Here is a 22,469-nt window from a genome sequence, read left to right on the forward strand (position 1 = left end):
GATGTATGCTTGTGTGTGCTTTTATACATGTGCAGATGTCGTACCATTTCTGCAAGGTGCTTCTGTATAGGATATAAGCATTTGGTGATATTGGGGAGTTTGAAAGTCTAATTAGACCACATAAACGTATTACTCTCCCTAACTCTCAAACTGTTGTTTAAAAGTGAGTGGTTGATGGTATGGATGTAGTAAAGAAAGAGATGTTATACAATATTGGAAAAAGCAATTAATTGAGAGCTAGAGGACTTTGATTTTGTAAGATCTTTGTAAAATGGTTTTACAAACTTGGAGTTTGGTTTTATACAGTCAGTGCATAGTAAAGGAACTATCATTCCAAATGGAAATGAAATGTTTTAATTCCTTTATATATGGATAAAATTTGAGAAACCTCAAAACTTTTTTTTCCCTTCATTTACAACTATTTTCTGCCTTCTAAATAGTCTTGTTTTCTCTGCATTTGAAGTCCTAGGATCTTTAAGTTTCCCATTGAAAACCTCTCTCAGAAAGAATCATGGTTTTGTGCCACTGTTTCTTTGTGCTTAGACTGGAATAATATCCACTTCATAGGTTACCCAGATAATTAAATTAGTTCAGACATAAAGAGCTTTGAGCAGTGCCTGGCTTGTACCAAGTGTTCAACAAGCGTTAAGATGTTATTATCATTATTTATCTGGCTTTCAGAGGGAAAAAAATAAGGTTGTATGTTACCTTTTATAGCTTGCTTATTTTAAAAAATTTATGATTGACACATAATTGTACATATTTATGTGATAAAATGTGATGTTTCAATACATGTATACATTATGTAATGAACAAATTGGGATAATTAGCATCTCCATCATCTTAAAATTTTTCATTTTTTTGTGATGAGACCATTCAAAAACCTCTCTTCTAGCTATTTTGATACTTTATTGTTAATGTTAGTCATCCTACTATGCAATAGAACACCAGAACTTATTCATCTTATCTAACTATAACTTTGTACCCGTTGACCAATCTCTCCCCATTCTTTCCTCCCCCTACCTCTTCCCATTCTCTGCTAATCACTATTCTACCCTCTACTTCTATGAAAACAACTTTGTAGATTCCACATATGGCTGAGATCATATGGTGTTGATCTTTCTCTTCCTACCTTAATGTCCTCTAGGTTCATATTGTCACAAATGACAACATTTCATTCTTTTTATGGCTATATCTAGCCATAAAATTTATTTAATTCTGTGTGTACACCTTTTCTTTCTTCATTCATTCATTGATGGACATTTAGATTGATTCCACATCTTGGGTATCGTGAATAGTGCTGCAGTAAACATAGGATGGCAGATATCTCTTAGACATACTGATTTCATTCCCTTTAGGCATATACCCAGTAATGGGATTGCTGGATTATGTGGTAGCTCTATATTTAATTTTTTGAGGACCGTCCATATTGTCTTTCATAATGGCTATACCAATTTGTATTCTCATCTGTAGTGTGTAAGACTACACACTCTCCACCTTCTCTCCATGTCCTCTCCAACGTCCTCTCCAACACTTTCTCTAGGTACTCTCCAACACTTGTTATCTTTTGATTTTGTTTATTAATTTAATCATCAGGGTTCTAACAATCACAAGATTCTTTTCCTTGAGATTACTTACTTTATTTTCCTGAGGAATTAGAGATCTGATTCCATGTTTTTTCTAGTTCCTAAATAAATATTTTTAAAATTCACTGACAGGAATAGTCAACAAAATGTGATTCCTAGAATTCAGGATATGAATCCACAAACTAAAAATGTTCTTCCTTTTTTTTTAACCAGGATTAAACAATAACAAAACCTAAGTCAGGATTTATGGGAATAAAGAGCAAATGACATGGAATCAGAAGACCTTATTTCAAGTCGTAACTCTGCTACTTTCTAAATATGATCATTTCTCTTAAAACAAATAATGATAATACTGACATGATTGTGAAAATTAAATGAAATAATATATGTAATGCACTTTGAAAACTGAAAAGTATTTTAGAGATATTTGTTACATTGAAAAATTGTTCATAAAAAGCCAGTGAACTCGTAGGAACAAATTAGGAACTTGATCAGGAATAGAAATGTCAGTATTCATTTACCTCTACTTGTTCTTTGTGAACAGTGTCAATACCTTAGTCGAATTCAACTTTAAAGCACACTTTATCTTCCTTCATAGTGTAGCAACATTGTTCTTGCTTTATTGAGGAAGATATTTGGGAGGTTAATGTAGACAAAGTCCCTACCTTTTTATCCTCATCCATAACACTTGTTTCAATGGATATACAAACTGAATAATATTACAAGAGCATCTTACATTAATATAGAATTTCATACTTTTCAAAGCATTTCACAACAATCATGGCATCTGAGCTTCACAATATATAGTAAATAATATATAACCCATATATGTGATATGTTTGTTTATATATACACCAATATGTAGATTTGTGAATGTGTATATGATGAATATATATGATTATGTGTTTACACCTTTTATTGTGGAAAAAGTTTAGACTTTTTAACATTAACAAAGCTCTAGATTTATCCAGCTGTGTCGGTGAAAAAGCTTACACTATCAATATGAGATTTAAATTGAACATATGGCCAAGGAATTTCTATGTGTATAGAAAGAGAAACAAATAAGATACATCTAATCATTTTAGTTACAATGTCCTTCTTAAAGATAGAGAATTAATTTTTATAGGACACCAATGCCAAATTTCAGTCCATTTATAATGGAAAATTTTCCATTGCACTAATAATATGTAATATATGGATTCATGTCAGTATCTTTTTTTGTCAAATAATATTTTACAGCTGGATTTTATACATTCTAAGTGTACTTCATCCCAACACAGTTGCTTTTTGATAGTGTTTTTAAAAAATTCTTTTATCTTAAATTTCAGTTTGTAAAATGTTTAAAAAATTTCAGATTCATAAATCCAACACCTACAAATCACGTCTGTGTGCCTATTGAAAGCACTCATGTTCCACATGCCTAAAGCCAAACTTTTAACTACCATTCCCACATGTCCTCCTGACTATCAGTACCAAAAAGCAGACAGACAAAAGTGATGCAAACCGGGTCCTCTCCTAAGTATCCCTTTTCCCATGAACAGCACCTCCATTCAGGCATCAGCAAGAAGCCTAGGATTTCTTTATACTACCTCTCCTTTACCACCCATGTTCAACCCATCACTAGGTTCTATCAGTTTAACTCCTAACTCTCTTTGAATCTGTCCACTTCTATCTCCACCTTCACTATTACCAAATTATCCAAAATTATAGTCGTCATTCATGAGATCTACTGAAATGCATTTTAATTGGTCTTCCTACCCGTGCTTTTGCTACTCTCTAATATAGACATCCAGAATGATCTTTGTAAAATCAACTCTGATAGGGTCAGCCCTTCAAATCTCACCACACCTCTTATGGCACAGATCAGAATTATTAATGTGGCTGAGAACTGCATGATTCACTTCAGAAGAATCAGAAGATTTTGAAAATTAAATAATTATTTTTCTGTTTTTTTATTAGTGTTCATCTTCCCATTAGTCTTACCATTGTATGCTCAATGCCCAGTATATAACACTCATAAGTATTTTTAAGTAATGAATTAATAAGATGTACATTATTTCATCACATCATTTTATATTATAAGCATTTTCCAATATTTCAATATCACTTTTATGGTCATTTACCTTATTAAATTTTTTAATTGTACGACTGAAGCACAGTTTCATCCTCATTGTGAAAGTATCAAACATTAAAGAGATGTATATCATAAAATGAAAAGATAAGTTATATTAATCCCCATTTTACTTATTTTTCAGTGGAAAACACTCATCAGTTAACAGTATATTCTTTCATATCTTTTTGTGACAGTAGATATTAATCTATCTATTCATTTTAATGGTTCTTTATATTCTATAGTATAGATATAATTTTATTAAACATTTTCACATCTGATAGCTATTCAGGTTGTTTCCAACTTTTCTGATATTATAAACAACTCAGTTTGCAAGCTGGTATTTATACATTTCAGCATAAATGTAAGTTTTCTGCTAAAAGAGATACACATGTAAAATTTTGAGATCTAAGGACATGCACATTTAAATTTTTACATGTATTACACTATCACACTTTGCAAAAAGATGTAGTAATTTGGAGTCCTGGTTACAATATATGGGAGTACTTGGTTTTCCACCTACATACCTTTCTGGACACAAGAAATTATCAGTCTTTCGTGTTGTCTCTTTTCTTAATGGACGCATAAAATGATAGAGGTCCATAAGTCGTAATTATCACAAGGTGAACACAGCCATGTGACCACCACCAACACCTAGAGAGAAAATATTCTTAGCCATCCAGAAGCTCTAGTGTCTCCTCTCGTTCACTATTCCTTGTCTCCTCTGCAGAGATAGACTAACTTCTTACAGCAGAGATTAGTTTGGCTTGTTTTTAAATTTTATAAAAATGCAATCATACAGTATGTGTTGTTGGTAGTCTGGCTTCTTTAACTCAACCTTTATTTGGGTGATCAGTTAAGCTCTTGTATGAACTTTTGTTCATTCATTCTTTGGCATAGAAATTTATTTGTGTATGTGTCATTATTGTTTTAATTTGCACTTCCCTGATGTAAATGAGATTGATCTCCTTGTATATGTTTATTGGCCATCTAGATACGCAATTTTGTGAAGTACCTGCTAAAGTCTCTGGTCTGTTTTCAATTAGATCTTCCCTTTTCTTGTCAATTTGCAGTAGTTATTTATATATTCTTGATCTGAGTCCTTTATTCATTATATATTCTACTGATCTTTTGTTATTTTGTGTTTCCCTTTTGAATGTTTTTAGATAACAGATGTTTTTAATTTGAATATACCCCACTTTCTCAATTTTTTATGTTATGAATAATGCTCTTAATATTCAACTCACACCAGGATAATGAAATTAATTTCATATATTATCTTTTAAAAGTTGTATTATTTTACTTTTTACATTGACAACTACTATCTACCTGTAATTAATTTTTGTGCCTTGTACAAAATGTAAGTCAATTTTTTTCTCTCAAGTGTATAGTCAGTCAGGTTGCACCAATTATTGAAAACATTCAACTTTTCATACTGTTTTACCATGCCACCTTTTCTTATAACCTAAGTATCTATATATTCATAGCTCTACTTCTGAATTTTATTCTGCTGATTTACTCCATCTGTTTTTGTGTCAGTACTTAGAATGTTGAACTTTCTCTGAGTTCTGTAGTCCCTTAAAACAGGGACAGTTAAAGGAATCATTTCACATTCTAGAAAACTGTTTATTACACAGAACTACTCTTTACCATATGACGTAGATAATACTCATAGATACCCCTTCCCGCAAGTTTGACTTGACAGTACCATTTGCCACACAGTTCATCCTAAATTCACCTGGTAATTGAAGTGTTCATCTGTGTTACTTACTTGCTTTTATTCCAAGAAAAAACAAAACTCATATCTCTATGTCAAGAAGTAGTTACAGCATGGAGCCAGGTGCTTAGGCTAAACTCCCATGGAGACTGGGAGATGAGTATGCTGCCTTTTTTGATACTTACATTCAAAAGTGATTACTCCGAGAAAACATAAGAAAAAAATGCCTGATTTATGAAATTGGTAAGACCCTTATTAGCTTTTTAAAAGACACACATCTCAAAGGGACAAAGAAAGAATTTATAAGTTCTCTAAAAGAAATAGGAGGGGACTTCAAAATTTTCTGGAAAAACAGAATTTAAAAAATATATATAAATTTTATTTATCACCGTAAGCTTTCCCAGGTTCCAGACATTTTTTGTAAGTGATCATAGCAGCCATTTAGTCTTTCCCTGAGGAACTGAGGGTCCTGGGAATCTAACCATGTCAATGCAGTCTTACTTGCATTATTAACTGAAGAAAAATGGATGCCCCTTCCACACATTTTAAGATTAAGAAACAAAAAGAAGTCAGACTGAGCCAAATCAGGACTGAAAGGTGGATGCCTAATGATTTCTCATTGAAACTCTTGCAAAAATTGCCCTTGTTTTATGAGAGGAGGAGCAGGAACATTGTACCTGTGAAGAAGGGCTCTCTGCTGAAGCATTCCAAGGAGTTTTTCTGCAAAAACTTTGGCTAATTTTCTCAAAACACTGTCATAATAAGCAGAAGTTGTTGTTGTTCAGCCCACCAGAATGTCAACAAGCGAAATTCCTTGAGCATCCCCCAAAAAACTGTTGCCATGGCCTTTGCTCTTGATTTGTCTGCTTTTGCTTTCCCTGAACCACTTCCACCGCTTGGTAGCCATTGCTTTGATTGTGCTTTATCTTCAGGATAACACTGGCAAAGCCGTATTTCATCTCCTGTCATAATTCTTCAAAGAAATTCTTAAGGATCTTGATCCTACTTATTTAAAATTTTCATTGAAAACTGCTTTTGTCTGCAGGTGAACTGAGTACAACAATTTTCACACCCATTGATTGGAAAATTTGCTCAACTATAATTTTTCAGTCAGAATGGGGAAAGCTGAACCAGTTGAGATATCTGTGGTGTTGGCTATTATTTGTGCTGTTCATCATTGGTCCTCTTCAATTAGGACATGAACAAGGTGAATTTTTTCCTTGCAAATTGATGTGCATGGTCTGCTGCTGTAGGTTTCATCTTTGACATTATCTCATCCCTTCTTAAAATGAGTTATTCATTTATAAACTGTTGATCTCTTTAGGGGGATTGTCTTCATAAGCTTTTGGTAAAGCATCAGTGAGTTCACCATTCTTCCCCACAAGCTTCATCATAAATTTGATATTTGTTCTTGCTTCAATTTTAGCAGAATTAATGTTGCTCTGACAGCGGCGCTTTTCAAACTGATGTGTCCTTCTTAGTCTCTCAAACTAAATCCTGTTCGGACATGTTATAACAAGTTAGTATGAGTTTAATTTTGTGCCAAAAATTTGAAAACCACACATATCCATTTTTCATTAGTGTTTTGAAGACCCCTTTGTACTCCAAGAAAAAGGAGGTGGGGCAAGTCACTTTGCCTTTTGGCACCAGGGAAAATCTAGTTCTTTTACATCTATCCTTACCCTTGCAGTTTCTTCCTTTTGTTGTTATTAACAGTTTCTGGTAACAAAGGCCAGACACACTTCACTTCCTCCAAATTCTTATTCTTCGTTTTATGAGTGGTTAGCTGAACTGTTTATCCCCATTGATCCATCAGAACAAGCAGTTGACCTGACTTGACCAAACTTTAATTAAGCTTCTCTTCTCCCTATAGGAACCTGAACACTGACCTACCCTCAACTTGAGCCAGTATTGTGATGTATAGCAGCTCCTCCTTAACACAAAGAAAGATAATCCCTGACACTTGCTTACTTCTCCCTATGAATGAAATCACTTTTCTGCCTGACATTTCAGATGTTTGCAGATCTCCTGAAACTTTCTTTCTATTGCAGTAGTCCCTCTCCATCTTTTGCAATAATTTTTTCAAATAATGTATTTTCAGGCCTAAATTCAGGTTTTTTTTTAAATTTTAGAATACTATGCTTTACTTATCATAGCTTTATAATACATCTTAATACCTGGTAGTGTAAATATTTCCACTTTGTTAACATCCCAAGAGAGAGTTCTTATTGTGGTGAATCTTTCCTAAGGAAATAATCTAAAATATGTAAAACAGGTCATATTTATGACATCATTTGTAAAAATTAAAACTACCTAGCATAAATTATGATCTATTTACCGAGATGGAATATGGAGCTGCTCTTAACATGAATGATGAGTTTAGATGATGATGATTCAAGAACTACAACCATTCCAATCAAAAAGTCCTTGAATGGTGAAATGTAAAAGAAAGGAAAGGTAGGGGACTATGTATAAAACAGTGCTGAAAAAAACAAATTTAGCAATTAGAAAGAAGAAATTTTGAAAAGTTGTTGGAAGATAAAAAGCAGATGAGATTGAATTCACAGAAATACAAGAGCAGAGGATACCAAAGCCCAAATCATATTCAGGATAAAACTGATAGAAATATTCAAGTTGTTGCAAAGTGGCTGTAGAGATAGGATCACTTTGGCTAATAAATTCAGATATCAGGTAAAATCCCTTGTAAAAATAATTAATTGAAGAAGTATTCAAGACAGCTTGGATAAATATCAATTCTACTCCATATTCCCCCAACTGAACTGTTAGTAGTGACATTAGTATCCTACTTGAAGCCCTAATTATAGTAGAAATTCTGGCACAAAGAACTAAAGAGGAGGTTTGGACAGGAGAAGCAAAATAAATTATGGTCTGTTCACCCCTGCACCCCATCAAATGAATGCTCTCAGACTCAGAAGCTAAAATATCTGCAAACTCCATATAATCCCTCACTCTACATCTTCCTGACAACCAAGAGAAGCTTCTTTCTATAATTAGAGCCTGTATCTACATTCAAAGTAGACATTGTTAAATTGTGATTGAAAGAAATGTGGAAAGCATAAAGTTCTGAGATGTGATAGTGTCTCTTTGCACTTACCTTGTAGGTGTACTATATTCTCTCAAGATGTCCTTTTGGCATAGAAGATGGGAAGAAAAGGTTTGGGATTGAAAGACTGCTAAACTCTAACACTTACTCATCTGCCTATCCACTCCATGATGTATGTATAGGTTTGATTGTGAAAATCTGAGCTTATTTTCCTCCTGCCATGTTCATTACTGGGAGAGAGAATCTTCCTTTACTTCAGTTGCTTAGTTTTCTCTCATGGTGGGAAAATCCCCAAAGACTTCTTGGTTCTGAGCTGAGAGCTTTACGAGCTATGCTGAGATATATAGTAAATGTATCTTTAAGGTTTCAAATGGACATTTATTTTAAAAACTTTTATATTTGCACATGACTTTTTATTAGAACCCATTTTGAAAATAGCAGTCACATTAAAAGAACATTTTTGAACATAATATTTGGAAATTTCTATCTGAGTCCTTTAGTTCTTTTCTCATTTATAAAGTTTTGAAGCTGTAAAGAATTTAAATTACCTGCATTCACATATTCATTCATCAAATACATGATTGGCTTCAATTATATGTAAAGCATTCTGTTAGGCATTATTGGAACACAACCATGAATCCAAGCTCATAGACTAGGACTCTCCTAGAAATAAAGCATGTGTACAACTGCAATATAAACTAAAGGCTTCAGTGCATAAGAATGCTTCAGGTGTTATGACAACTGATATTCAGAAGAACGTTTTTTGGGGGCTGGCAAATCATTGTACAAAAACATTGAGTTTATAAGTTTAATAGAGAAGTGACATTTTACGTGATTCACCTGTTGAACCAAACCTGAAAACTTGGCCTTGGAACCAATACTCAGCCTAATTTCTGGGTGTTTTTGATGGAAACCTTCTCATTTGAATAGCCAGTGTTTAAATTTCACCACCTATTGGCAGTGGAAATCCTGGGGCTGAATGTGTACATATTCTACTTTGAGATCATCCCTTGGAATGTCTATTTTTGTTGTTTCTTTTGTTACAGTTTTACTCTTCCATACTTAAAAAGACTTTTTGGTGATGTATTCTCTTTGTAAGAAATATAGTTCTCAGTAATAGAAGAAACAAATATTTCAATTGAAACAAGTGGCAGCTAAATAATTCCCCATTTTTTTGAAATACAGTGTTGCTGTAATAGTTCCCAAAAGCCCAAAGCCAAGCTCTTCCTTTCATAGGACTTAGTCTGTTGTGCTAGTTTTCCTCTGTTAATGTTTAATTTTTGTTTTGTTTACTTTTGTTTTTTGAGACGGCGTCTTGCTGTGTCCCCCAGGCTGGAGTGCAGTGGTGCAATCTTGGCTCACTGCAGCCTCCGTCTCCCGGGTTCAAGCAATTCTCCTGCCTCAGCCTCCTGAGTAGCTGGGATTACAGGCACACACCATCATGCCTGGCTAATTTTTGTATTTTTAGTAGAGACGGGGTTTTGCTATGTTGGCCAGGCTGTAATTGAACTCCTGGCCAATGTTCAATATTTATTCAGTAGTATGAGAATTTACTCCAGGTCAGTTCAACACTGATTAGTTTTTCTGTAAGAGTAGAGGAAATTTTCCAAAATGAGTCGCCATTTTCAACAGGAGTGTCAATTTAGTAACTTAAGTATTAGAAAAACCAAACAGCCTCTTCTTTTTTTCAACAGCCCTTGAACACATATATAGTAAACATCCACTGAGGGTTGGTTCCAGAACCAATCCCCGGACCCTTGGATACCAAAATCCCAGCATGATCAAGTTCATTATATAAAATGTAGTAGTATTTGCATATAGCCTACACACATTCTTCAGCATACTTTAATTCATCTCTAGATTATTTATAATACCCAATACAATATAAATGTAAATCGTTGTTACACTGTATTGTTTTTAAATTTGTGTGTGTATGTGTTTACTGCTGTTTAAAAATATTTACAATCTGCTGTTGGTTAGATTTGTGGGTGCAGAACCTGCAGATACAGAGGGCCCACTGTCACAATTTTTTTTTCCTGGGGCAAAGAAACTCTTAGGAGATTATAGATTCTAAATACTAACATGGACGTTTGGTAAAGCAGAAAGATCTAAAGTAGGTTAATAAACACTTTGCATTGCATTCTGTCCATCTTTCTTCACAAAAGACCTCATAGTTTTTTTTTTTTTTTTGAAGATTTTGAGTTTTTTAAAATTAATTTTTAGGGCATTAGTTCTATTCTTACAATGCCATATCATAAAGCCAAACTAATGTCTTCAGTCATCAGCAATTTTAAACTATGCATGTAGCCTTTCAGTAGAGTCATATAGGCTCATTGGAAATTCGATGTCACTGAGCTATCACTGGAGATAGCTATAACTTACTGGTGATTTTACTTTTTAATCTTTCTTTACTTCTGAATGCAGTGTTAGGCACTGGATTTTCCCTTATGTGCTTTACAGAATCATTTTTCAAAATACCCACATAGGCTGCTTTTTTGGTTGTTTAATTTCTTAAGATTCAGTTGGATTACCTACAGAAGAAGAAAAAAGTTGGAATCTGGGTGATATAAAATTTAACACCTTATCATATAAAGATTTTCACACGTGCTAAATTTTATTTTATTTATTTTTTTAACTTTCTTTTTCTTTTATTATACTTTAAGTTTTAGGGTACATGTGCACAATGTGCAGGTTAGTTACATATGTATACATGTGCCATGTTGGTGTGCTGCACCTAGTAACTCATCATTTAACGTTAGGTATATCTCCAACGTGCTAAATTTTAAACTGGATATTTATTCAGTGCTGCCTTCAGCAGTTCATTTGTCTGCAGTAAAAACAGAATGTCTTAAACAGCCACAGTGTACACAATACTTTGCTAGGCCATGAAAAGATATTAATAATATTAGTCAGTATCTAACAATGGGAAAAGAACTTATGCATCAAGCAATACCAAGCCCCTTAAATGCTAAAGTTTGTTGTAATATTTTAAGTTCTTTGGGAAATGGCTATCAGTGAGGACAGAACAGGAGTCTCTTCCAGTAATAGCAGTATGACTTTGGATTAGTTGCTTAATGTTCCTTGAAGTTTAATTTTTTCATCTATAAAAAAAAGTGTTAGCCCATTTCTAAAGTCCTATCCAGCTGTATAGTGATATGGCTCTCTGGGCCGTGAATATTATATTAGGATTTGAGTAGAGAAGAAAGGGCATTCCAGGTGAAAGAATAGCTTGAGTAAAGCCAAAGTCTTATACTTTTACTTGCATTTTGAGATAGCTTTGTGTGATAATTTAATAAATAAATATTATTAGTTTATGAAATAATTTCACATCAATTGAATATGAAATCTAAAAGTAAAAGAAAACATACCCTTGTTTACTAACATTCTTAGAACAGCAGTGTTTATTTACTTCGTCTTTGTCTTTTGCTTCGTCTTTTATGTACCCTCCTCTTGAATATCTGCAGGGCCAATATTGGAAGCCATCAGAACCTCCCAATCCTACCAATGAAAGATACACACTTCACCAGAATTGGGCTCGATTTTCCTATTTCTACAAGGAGCAGCCTTTAGACTTGATTAAGTAAGTTTCATACACAGGATCAGACCAATTAAAACTTGATAATGTGATTTTTATTCACAATGGCATAATATTTTTTTTACTACTATTTTCTCCCACTACATTTCACAACTTCTTGATTTCATATCTACACTATAAATTAGCAATTCATTTAGGAGAATGTTGTTGCTAAACTGATGAAAGACAACAGCGATAGTATGGTGGTTAGGAGGTTAGACCTTAGCATTTAGCTAGGCTGAATTCCAATCCAAGTTCTGTCTCTTGAAAGCTATATAAATTTGGTCAAGTTACTTAACCATTATGAAAATAGATATAACAATATTACTACTTTTTAGCACATTAGTTATAATATCTATACTATCTGTAAAACGGGAATAGCAATATTACTACTTTTTAGCATAGGGGCTAACACTTAGTGTTTAATACATATTAGTTTTTGTTTCTCTTGGAGTCCAGAAATTTGGAACATAAGACAAAGGTTGTGTATGGATGTTTGTGTGTGTGTGCTCTCAGTGAGCTGTGAAGACATTTGTTCTATGACCTCAATCCTTTAGATAGTTTCATTAGCTAAGCAAGAAGACTATGGTTGCAGGTTATCACTTTAAAGCATAGCAATACTACAAGCATACAAGATATTAGGAGACATATGATTTTATTCAATGAACTATTAGATTAGAGATCTCTTGCTACTATAGGCAGTGTTTTTTCCTTGATGATTTATACTTGCATTGCTATGCTTACACAGCATCACAGTATCTGTTTCATGAGACTGATTTGAATGGATCCATCCAAATCAACTGAAATGTTATCTCAACAGTATGTTTAAGTCAAACTAGAGGACACATTTTGGAAAATTAATGTCACTTAGTCAGTTTATAAACTGGGGCTTTTGATAAATCATGCAAACTCTTTCTTGAATGGCTATTTTAACTGTTTTGAATAATAATCATTTAATACTTTAAGTTATAAAACCAGAATATTTATCAAAAACATTTCAAATAATTAAGAGATGAACAAAGTTTTAAGTGAAATTCTACCTTCATCAAACTCCACAAAAATAACTAGGCTTGATTTGGATAATATTGATTTAGTCCTATTTTTGTGTTCCTGCATAAAAAAGCAGAAACATTTTTTTTTCTGAGAGCAATGGCATCTTTCTCTTCTCTTTCATGCTAATATTTTTCTTTATTCACTAAATAGTATATTACTGATGTCCTTCTATGAATACACAAAGATCTATCTGATACTATTTAGTGGAACACAGAATGCCTTATTATAAATTTTTCATAATTCATTTATTTGTTTTTCTATTGAAAAACATTAGGCTGTCCCAATTTTTTTATATAATTTCAACTTTTTAATTTTAGATTCAGTGGTATACATGCATGTTTTTTGTGTGGGTATATTGCACGATGCTGAGGTTTGGGGTGCAGATCCTGCCACCCAAGTAGTGAGCATAGTAACAAATAGGGAGTTTTTTAACCCACACCCCTCTCCCACACTACCTCCTCTAGTGTATATCGTAGTCATCCTTATGTCTATGTGTATTCAATATTTAGTTCCCACTTACAAGTGGTTTATATATACCACGTTTTATTTATCTGCTCCACCATTAATGGTCACCCAGGTTGATACCATGTCTTTGCTATTGTGAATAGTGCTGCAATGGACATATAGGTGCGTGCATCTTTTTGGTAGAACAATTTATATTGCTTTGAGCATATGCCCAGTAATGAGATTGTTGGGTCAAATGGCAGCTCTGTTTTAAGTTCTTTGCAGAAGCTCCAAACTGTTTTCCACAGCAGCTGAATTAATTTTCATTCCCATCAACGGTGTATAAATGTTCTCTTTTCTCCCAAATCTCACCACCATCTGATATTTCTTGACTTTTTAATCATAGCCATTCTGACTGGTATGAGATGTTATCTGATTGCGGTTTTGATTTGCATTTCTCTGGATTAGTGATGATGAGCATTTTTTCATATGTTTGTTGGCTGCTTGTATGTATTTTGAGAAGTGTCTCTTCATGTCCTTTGCCAATTATTTATTGGGGTTATTTGGATACTGCTTGTTGACTTGTTTGAGTTCCTCATAGATTCTGGATATTAGACCTTTGTTGGATGTGTAGTTTGTGAATGTTTTCCCCTATACTGTAGATTGTCTACTCTATTGATACTTTCTTTTGCTGTGCAGAAGCTCTTTAGTTTAATTAGGTCCCACTTGTCAATTATTTTTTGATGTTGCAATTGCTTTTGGTGACTTAGCCAAAAATTATTTACCCAGGCCGATGTAGAGAAAGATACTTCTTAGGTTTTCTTCTAGGATTTTTATAGTTTGAGGTCTTACATTTAAAACTTTATTCCATCTTTAGTTATTTTTCTATATGGTGAAAGATAAGGGTCCAAGTTTTATTCTTCTGTATATTGCTAGTCAGTTATCCCAGCACCATTTATTGAATACGGAATCCGTTCCCCATTGCTTGTTTTCATCAGCTTTGTTGAAGACCAGATGGTGGGAGGTGTGCAGCTTCATTTCTGCTTTCTCTGTTTAGTTCCATTGGTCTATGTGTCTTACCAGTACCATGCTGTTTTGCTTACCATAGCCTTATAGCATAGTTTGAAGCCAGGTAGTGTGATGCTTCCAGTTGTGTTCTTTGTTGTGTTCTTTTTGGTTAGGATTGCTTTGGCTATTTGGCCATTTTTATGGTTCTATGTTAATGTTAGAATAGCTTTTTCTAATTCTGTGAAAAATGTCATTGGTAGTGTGATAGGAATAACATTGAATTTGTAAATTGCTTTGGGCAGTATGGCCATTTTAATGATACTGATTCTTCCAATCCATGAACAAGGAATGTTGTTCCATTTATTTGTGTCATCTCTGATTTCTTTCATCAGTGTTTTGTAGTTTTCCTTGTAGAGATCTTTCACCTCCTGGATTAGCTGTATTCCTAGATATTTCATTTTTTGTGGCTATTGAAAATGGGATTGTGTTCTTGATTTGACTCTCAGCTTGAACATTATTGCCATATAGAAAGCTACTCACTTTTGTCCATTGCTTTTGGGTCCTGAAACTTTACTGAACTCTCTCATCTGTCATTTATGAAATCTAGGAGACTTTTGGTGGAGTCTTTAGGGTTTTCTAGGTGTAGAATCATTTGGCAACAAAGAGAGATAGCTTTACTTCTTCTTGTCCTATTTGGATGCCTTTTATTTTTTTTCTCTTGCCTGATTCCTCTGGCTAGGACTTAAGCACTATGTTGAATAGGAGTGGTAAGAGTGGGCATCTTTGTTTTATTTCATTTCTCAAGGGGAATGATTCCAGCTTTTGCCCATTCAGTATGATGTTGGTTGTGGGTTTATCATAGATGGCTCTTATTATTTTGAGGTATGTTCATTCAATACCAAGACTATTGAGGGTTTTTTAATCATGAATGGAAAGGGATGCTGAATTTTATCAAAAGCTTTTTCTGCATTTATTGAGATGATCATATGTTAATAGTTTTTCCTCTTAATCCTATTTATGTGGTGAATCACATTTACTTATTTGCACTTGTTGAATCAGCCTTGCATCTCAGGAATAATGCCAGTTTGATCGGATGTATTAACTTTTTGATGTGCTCCTGGATTTGGTTTTCTAGTATTTTGTTGACAACTTTTGTGTCTGTATTCATCAGGGATATTGGCCTGACATTGTCTTTTTGTTGTTGTGTCTCTATCAGATTTTGGTATCAGCCTGGTGCTGGTTTCATAGAACGAGTTATGGAGAAGCCTTTCCTTTTTGAGTTTTTGGAATAGTTTCAGCAGGGTTGTTACAAGTTCTTCTTTGTATTTCTATCTGCTAGTATTTGGGTGTGAATTCATCTGGTCTAGGGCATTTTTTGATTGGTAGATTTTTAAATTAATGATTAAATTTCAAAACTTATAATGGTCTGTTTGGGTTTTTACTTTCTTCCTGGTTTAATCTTGGGAGCTTTTGTGTTTCCAGGAATTTATTCATTTCCTAGATTTTCTAATTTATGTGCATAGAACTTTTCATAATAGTATTGGAGGATTTTTGATTTCTGTAGGATTAGTTATAATATCATCATTGTCATTTCTCATTGGACTTATTTGGATCTCCTTTTTTTCTTTGTTAATATAGCTAGGGTGGTCTGTCTTATTTATTCTTTTGAAGAACCAATACTTGGTTTCATTGATCTTGTGTATAGATTTTTGCATCTCAGCATCCAGTGTTAGTATTGATATGTGAGATTTTGATCTTGTCATCATGTCGTTAGCTTGTTGTTTTGTAGACTTGATTGTATAGTCTCTTTATAGTGTCTTTGGGCTATGTGTTTAAGTGTGTTTTGTGATAGCAGGTGTTGTTCTTTCATTCCATGTTTAGTACTCTCTTAAGGACCTCTTGTAAGCCGTGTCTAGTGGTAAAAAATTATCTCAGAATTTGCTTGTCTGAGAAGAATTGTATTTCTCCTTCACTTATGAAGCTTAGTTTGATGAGATATGAAATTCTTGGTTAGAATTTCTTTTCTTTAAGGATGCTACAAATAGGCTTCCAATCTCTTCTGGCTTGTAAGATTTCTGCTGACAGGTCTGCTGCTAGCCTGATGAGCTTCCATTTGGATGTAATCTGACTCTTCTTTCTAGCTGCCTTTAAATTTTTTTGTTCGTGTTGAACTTGGTGAATCTGATGACTATGTGCCTTGGGGATATAGTGTCTCATCAGGGTTCTCCATCTTTCTTAAATTTGTATATCAATTTCTGGTGAGATTGGGGACATTTTTATAGACTATATCCTCAAGCACTTTTTCCAGGTTGTTTACTTTCCTGTCTCAGGAATGCCAATAAGTCATAAGTTTGGTCTCTTTATGTAATCCTAAATTTCTTGGAGGTTTTGTTCTTTTTTTTTTTTTTTTAACTTTTGTCTGGCTCAGTTGATTTGAAGAACTGGTTTTTGAGCTCTGAGATGCTTTCCTCAGCTCGGTCTATTCTGCTGTTAATGCTTCCTGTTGTATTATAAAATCCTTGTAGTGATTGCTTCCATTCCAGAAGTTCAGTTTTGTTTTTTCCTAAAATGGCTATTTCATCTTTCAGCTCTTAGATTGTTTTACTGGATTCCTGGATTACTGGATTGGGTTTTAACTTTCTCTTGAATCTCGATGAGTGTCCTTTCCATTCTGAATTGTATGTCTGTCATTTCTGTTGTTACCATCTAGTTAAGAAGCATTGCTGAGGAGCTCATTTGAAGGTAAGGGGACACTGACTTTTTGAATTTCCAGAGTTCTTGCACTGAATCTTTCTTGCCTGAGAGGGCTGGTGTTCCATTAATTGTAGTATAAGTTGAGTATAGTCAATTGGCTTCATTACTGGGTGCTTTCAGAGAGCCAAGGCTCTGTACAGGGTCTTTATTTGTAGCTGGATTCTTGCCTTGGGTTTCACAGTTTTGTATATTGGCAGAATGTTTTTGGTGTTGTAATTTGGTTTACTATCCAGTAGATGGCACTTAGGAGTAAGAGCCAGCAGATAGGCTCAGCCTCGCAGCGCTTCAGTATTTCTGCCTATTCACAGCAGTGCTCTGTGGTGGGGTGAAAAGAGAGATGACCCTCTCTCCTTGCTGGTATGCTTCGGGATCCTGGGGGAGACCCCTCTGATCGCTGGCACTGTGTCTGTGTTTCCTTTGTTACTTGCTAATTTCAGTATTACTTCTGATGTGATCTGATATGATTTATAATTTGCTCTACTTATCTCTGGAGTTCAATCAATTTTTGTTTTATATCTTTCCACTCTTCTCTATTCCTTTTTTTAGTTTTTATATTTCTGGGGTTTTCTTGTATCAGCAAATATTTATTTGAGAAGAGTTCACTCTGTTTTTAGGTTTTTATTACAGTATTATTCAATTTCATGTTATTTGGGGAGAATTATCAGACTAAATTATTTACTTCACATTTTCTGATTTTGCTTTTGTTTTGCATGTTTTTTTATGGACGTGGCCTACCTATTTCAATTTGTTTTTAATTTATAAACAGAGTTTCTAGCACTAGAGTGCCCCTCTCTGTTAGTCCATCACACATTCTCAATGTGTTGTCTGTAGACACCTTTCTGCAGTGTTAAAAATGTCATTTTCTCATTGTGTGCCTGTGTTTTGACTGTGGCTCATCACATGAGGTCAGGGGTAGCATTTTCTACTTGTGGCATCATGTCGGCACTCAAAAAGTTTCAGATTTTGGAGAATTTTGTGTTTCGAATTTTCAGATGAGGGATGCTCAACCTGGTGAATGGGAGTGAGGGAGAATCTGTTTCTGTGTGTGCTGGACCTGAAGCTTCCTGTGAGTCTCACAGCTGTGGGCACCCATCTTCCCTTGCCCTGCGCAGCCTATTTCTTTCATTTCTACGAGATTCTAACTCTCCTATTTTCTTTTTTCTGTTTACTGACACTCCTCCAAAGAGTACCAGTCTTCTCTTTGTATCTGATTCTTCTCAAGAAATATTGCTTATCTCAGGCTGCCACTTCCAGTCTCACTCTTTTCAGATCCTTTCTTATAGATTATAAATGACCAAATCCAAACATATATTCTGCATTAGGGCATTTAGTTAAACTTTTCTCTAGGGTTATTTTAGCTGTGTTTCTTTATGTTTTCCACCCTACTTTACATTTTTCCCCTATAATTTCTTAAACATCTTCACCTCTCTCCTGTGTCTTAGGTTTGTAGCAGCAGGTGTTGTTTTTATTTCCTTAGTTGCAGGTAATTTGAGGATCATGACTTTCTCTGTCATGATACTGAAGGCCTGTATTGGGTTTGGGTGTTTTTCCTCTCCTTGTTGATTTCATGGGTTTTAGTAAAGGTTTTGTGGGTAGACTTGATAAAAGTTAAAATATTCTTAAAATAGAAAGAATTTGCCTGTAATCTCAGCACTTTGGAAGGCCAAGGCAGGCAGATCACTTTAGGTCAGGAGTTTGAGACGATTCTGGTCAACATGGTGAAACCCCGTTTCTACCTAAAAAATAATAATACTACTACTACAAAAATTACCCCAGCGTGGTGGCGCACACAACTGTAATCTCAGCTACTTTGGAGGCTGAGGCAGGAGAATTGCTTGAACCTGGGAAACAGAGGTTGCGATGAGCCGAGATCGCACCACTACCCTACAACCTAGCACAACAGAGTGAGACCCTGTTTCAAAAAAAAAAAAAAAAAAAAAAAGCAAAAAAGAAAAGAATTTATTCATATATGCATAATTACAATTGACACATTTCTTTTAATGAGACTTTATTAAGCATCACTACATATCAAGCAAGGTACTGTGCCTACAAAGATAATCAGATGGTGGTTTCCTAACATGAATTTGTTTGCAGGAACACACACAAATGCGTATTAGTTACAGCACAGTAATACTCCAAACAAAATACAGAGGGAAAAGCACCTATCTTCATGACAACCTCTAGGAAAGCTTCACAGTGCTTTTGAACTATGTCTTGAAAGATAAGTAGCAGTATAGTAGGGAAAGAAGTTAGGTAAGAATATCTCAGGCAAAGAGAACACACAAGAGCATTGTGTGTTTGTTTAGTTCTTCAAGTAGGAGTGTTGGCAAAGAAGATTTGAATGTTCACCAGGAACAAAATCCTGAAGAACAATGCTGAAGTAAAAAGATGAAGCTTTGAAGGAAGAAAAGGATATTGCTCAATTTTTCTTTAGAAACATCATTTTATTGGAAACAAAAGATAATTTAGATGGATATAAGATTGAACTCAGGGAAGTAAAGGCTGTTAAAATTGTCCAGCAATAAATTTTGGAGGTCTTTTCAAGGCATTGACAACAGGAAGGAGAGGAGACTATGAATTAGAAAAAATATTTTTATGACAGAATTCATTGGCCCTAATGGATTATTGGATATGGAGGACAAAAATAAGGAAGACAGAATGATAGGGTGTCTAGAAAGAGATACAGTTTATAGGAATCTGAGTTCCTAGATTTCACATATTTCATGTTACCTCTATACCAAACATCACTTTAATGTCCAGATATCTGGAAGTGGTTTTTCTGCCTTTTGAGCACAGATAGTTTTGTCACATTAGATAATATTTTTGGGGAAAATGGCAATGCTAAGATTGAGAAAAATGGGCTGATGGAGCATATAAAGTTGAAGACTGATCACTGGCACATCAGCTCTATCAGCTCATTTTTTTTTCCTTCCAGCTTACACTTCAGGTAATTTGTTTTTGATATCCATATGTTGTATGTTAATGCTTAGAAACAAAATTGAAATACTGCTACATACTAAATAGCATAGACTAAATATATGTGTGGTACAGATAATGTTATTACAATGTGAGGATAATACTGAAGCTAAGTTTCTCAGATGTTTATGGATTCATTGTAAAAATAAGTCATTTTAGAAAAAAATGTTTGCATTGATTGATTTATCAAGATTGTATTCAATTTAATTCTATCATCATTCTTTTGATTATTTACTATGTCTTCAACTAAATATTACATCTTGGAAATACAAAATGAGAGCAGTCCCCTCACACAGTATCTAACACACATCTACCTATCAGATGCTGTGTTAAATGGTGCAGTGCCACAGATCAGTTGAAAGTCTAATAATTAAAATGGACAGGTTAAAAAAGATCATAGATTTAAATATATGGCATATTTTTCTAAAAAATAATACTCAAAAGAAGGCTCTCCCTATATTTGAGCTTTTGTAGAGTGTCTCATGTTATTAGATTTCTCTTATTTTCTTAGTTATGACTAACAAGATAGTTTAAATTAAATATTAAATGTGATTTCAATAATGTATGCATTTTTACCATATTGCAAATCTAAGAAATATCTCCTGCTTTCTGAGATCCTGAAAGATTATTTCGTTGTTAATCTGTTACTGTTAGATACCCAAGTCCAAAGTTTAGTAAGATAATTTGTATATTTCCACATGTAATAAATACTTACCTGATTTCATTTAGTAAATTCTCAGCAATTTCTTTTTTTGACAGGTTTAGAGTTCTTGAGGGATTTTGTTTTTTATGCTCAAGGAATAAGACTTGTGACAATTGAAAAGGAGAAAAAAGTAGTACTTTAAAACTAAGATTGTTGAAATATCCAGTTTCCTTATGAATACTTAAAGAATTTTTAAGTTAAGTCTATAGCAATAATGTTGATATTATATTTCTAATAACATTGATTCTGCCATTTTTAAAACATTAAAAATAGACATGGTAAACAGTAAATTTCATAAAATATATTTTTGTACTTTTTCTGATTTTGATGTCATGTACTATTACAATAATTTCTACATTTTTCAGAAAAAAACTGGGAGAAAAAGTTCATTCACTCTGAGTAAGCTAAGGAAGTTGTGAATGGCAGATTAGCAAGGGAATATGATGGCATTATAATTTAATTTCAAGTTTATAGTGATCTGGAAAACCAAATTAGGGAAATTAACAATGCAACAATGTTCATCATCACTGAAAAGAATGAAAAAAGACAGGATAAACAGAAAGATGCCTATTAATATTAAGAGTGTTGAAATATGAAGAATGGGATGTTCAATAAAGTTAATATTGAATATGATAAATACATTTTAAAATCTCATTGAGAAAAAATGTTTATAACCTTTATGTTCAGATATGTGTTCTTGTTAAGCATATATAGAAATTACAATTTAATATTAAGTACTTTCACAGAATCATATGGCATGCTACTAGAACACAAAAGGTATCACATCTTTCTGCCTAGGAAACTGTGGAAAGACTCACAGATTTGGTGAGCTGGGATCTATATGAATAAGGAGGAAGATTAATCAGGTTAAACAACAACAACAAGAAAACCTGACTTTCTGAGGAGGAGAAAACTACTTTCTCTCATTCCTAAATGGGTACTAAGTTAAAAACAAAACACTTGGTTGTGAGAATTAAAATGTTGTGCCGATAAACGCTGTCACTTTTCAATTCTTTGAAAACCAAGAGCTAGGCTGCATATTTCATAGAATTTTTGCTAAAGTAGTCATGTTTAATTCCTTGGCCTGCTGCATATGTCACAATCCTGTAAACATCCAAGATTCAAACTTGGAGAAAGATGGAAATGTATATCTACAATGCGGTCAGAGAAATGTTTTCAGTTTTAGAGAGATAAAGCAAAAGTCCATGCAGATTTTGGATATGGTTTTGATTTGTTAAGTTCATTCCTAGAAATTACATTGTAGAATATTCTGTAGTTTATTTAAAAACCATTTAAATTCTCTTTATAATACAGAGGCTTTCCAAATTATCTTATTTAAATTTTAAAGTTAAATTCCGTTTAATTGGCTTTCTACTTATATCTGTTATCCCTTTTAATCCTTGTATCAGTCCTTGCAGTATGGCATAAGCACCATCTTGTGTTAAAACATGATAATGATATGGAAACTGAAGTTTAGAGA

General features: G+C 33.8%; 1 protein-coding gene across 15 annotated transcripts in view, besides 1 other annotated feature; it reads left to right on the forward strand.

Annotated features, from left to right (window-relative positions):
* Nucleotides 1–22,469, forward strand: part of ANO5 (anoctamin 5) — a 90,885-nt gene that overhangs the window by 35,155 nt on the left and 33,261 nt on the right. For 13 of the 15 annotated variants that reach the window (XM_005252822.5, XM_047426522.1, NM_001441294.1 and 10 more), the window contains 2 exons: nucleotides 8,536–8,649; nucleotides 11,942–12,057. In XM_005252822.5, the coding sequence (XP_005252879.1) occupies nucleotides 8,536–8,649; nucleotides 11,942–12,057 (230 nt within the window). The remainder of the gene's footprint in view (nucleotides 1–8,535; nucleotides 8,650–11,941; nucleotides 12,058–22,469) is intronic. The other 2 variants (NM_001441298.1, NM_001441299.1) reach the window with 1 other exon arrangement.
* Nucleotides 6,825–7,819: an enhancer, noted in NCBI's record as "OCT4-NANOG hESC enhancer chr11:22255998-22256992 (GRCh37/hg19 assembly coordinates)". NCBI's record gives its function as "activates a minimal SCP1, AML or CMV promoter by ChIP-STARR-seq in naive and primed H9 embryonic stem cells {active_cell/tissue: H9 hESC(naive and primed)}" and the evidence as "EXISTENCE:reporter gene assay evidence [ECO:0000049][PMID:30033119]".

The sequence above is a fragment of the Homo sapiens genome, chromosome 11, assembly GCF_000001405.40.
Source record: "Homo sapiens chromosome 11, GRCh38.p14 Primary Assembly".
NCBI lineage: Eukaryota > Metazoa > Chordata > Mammalia > Primates > Hominidae > Homo > Homo sapiens.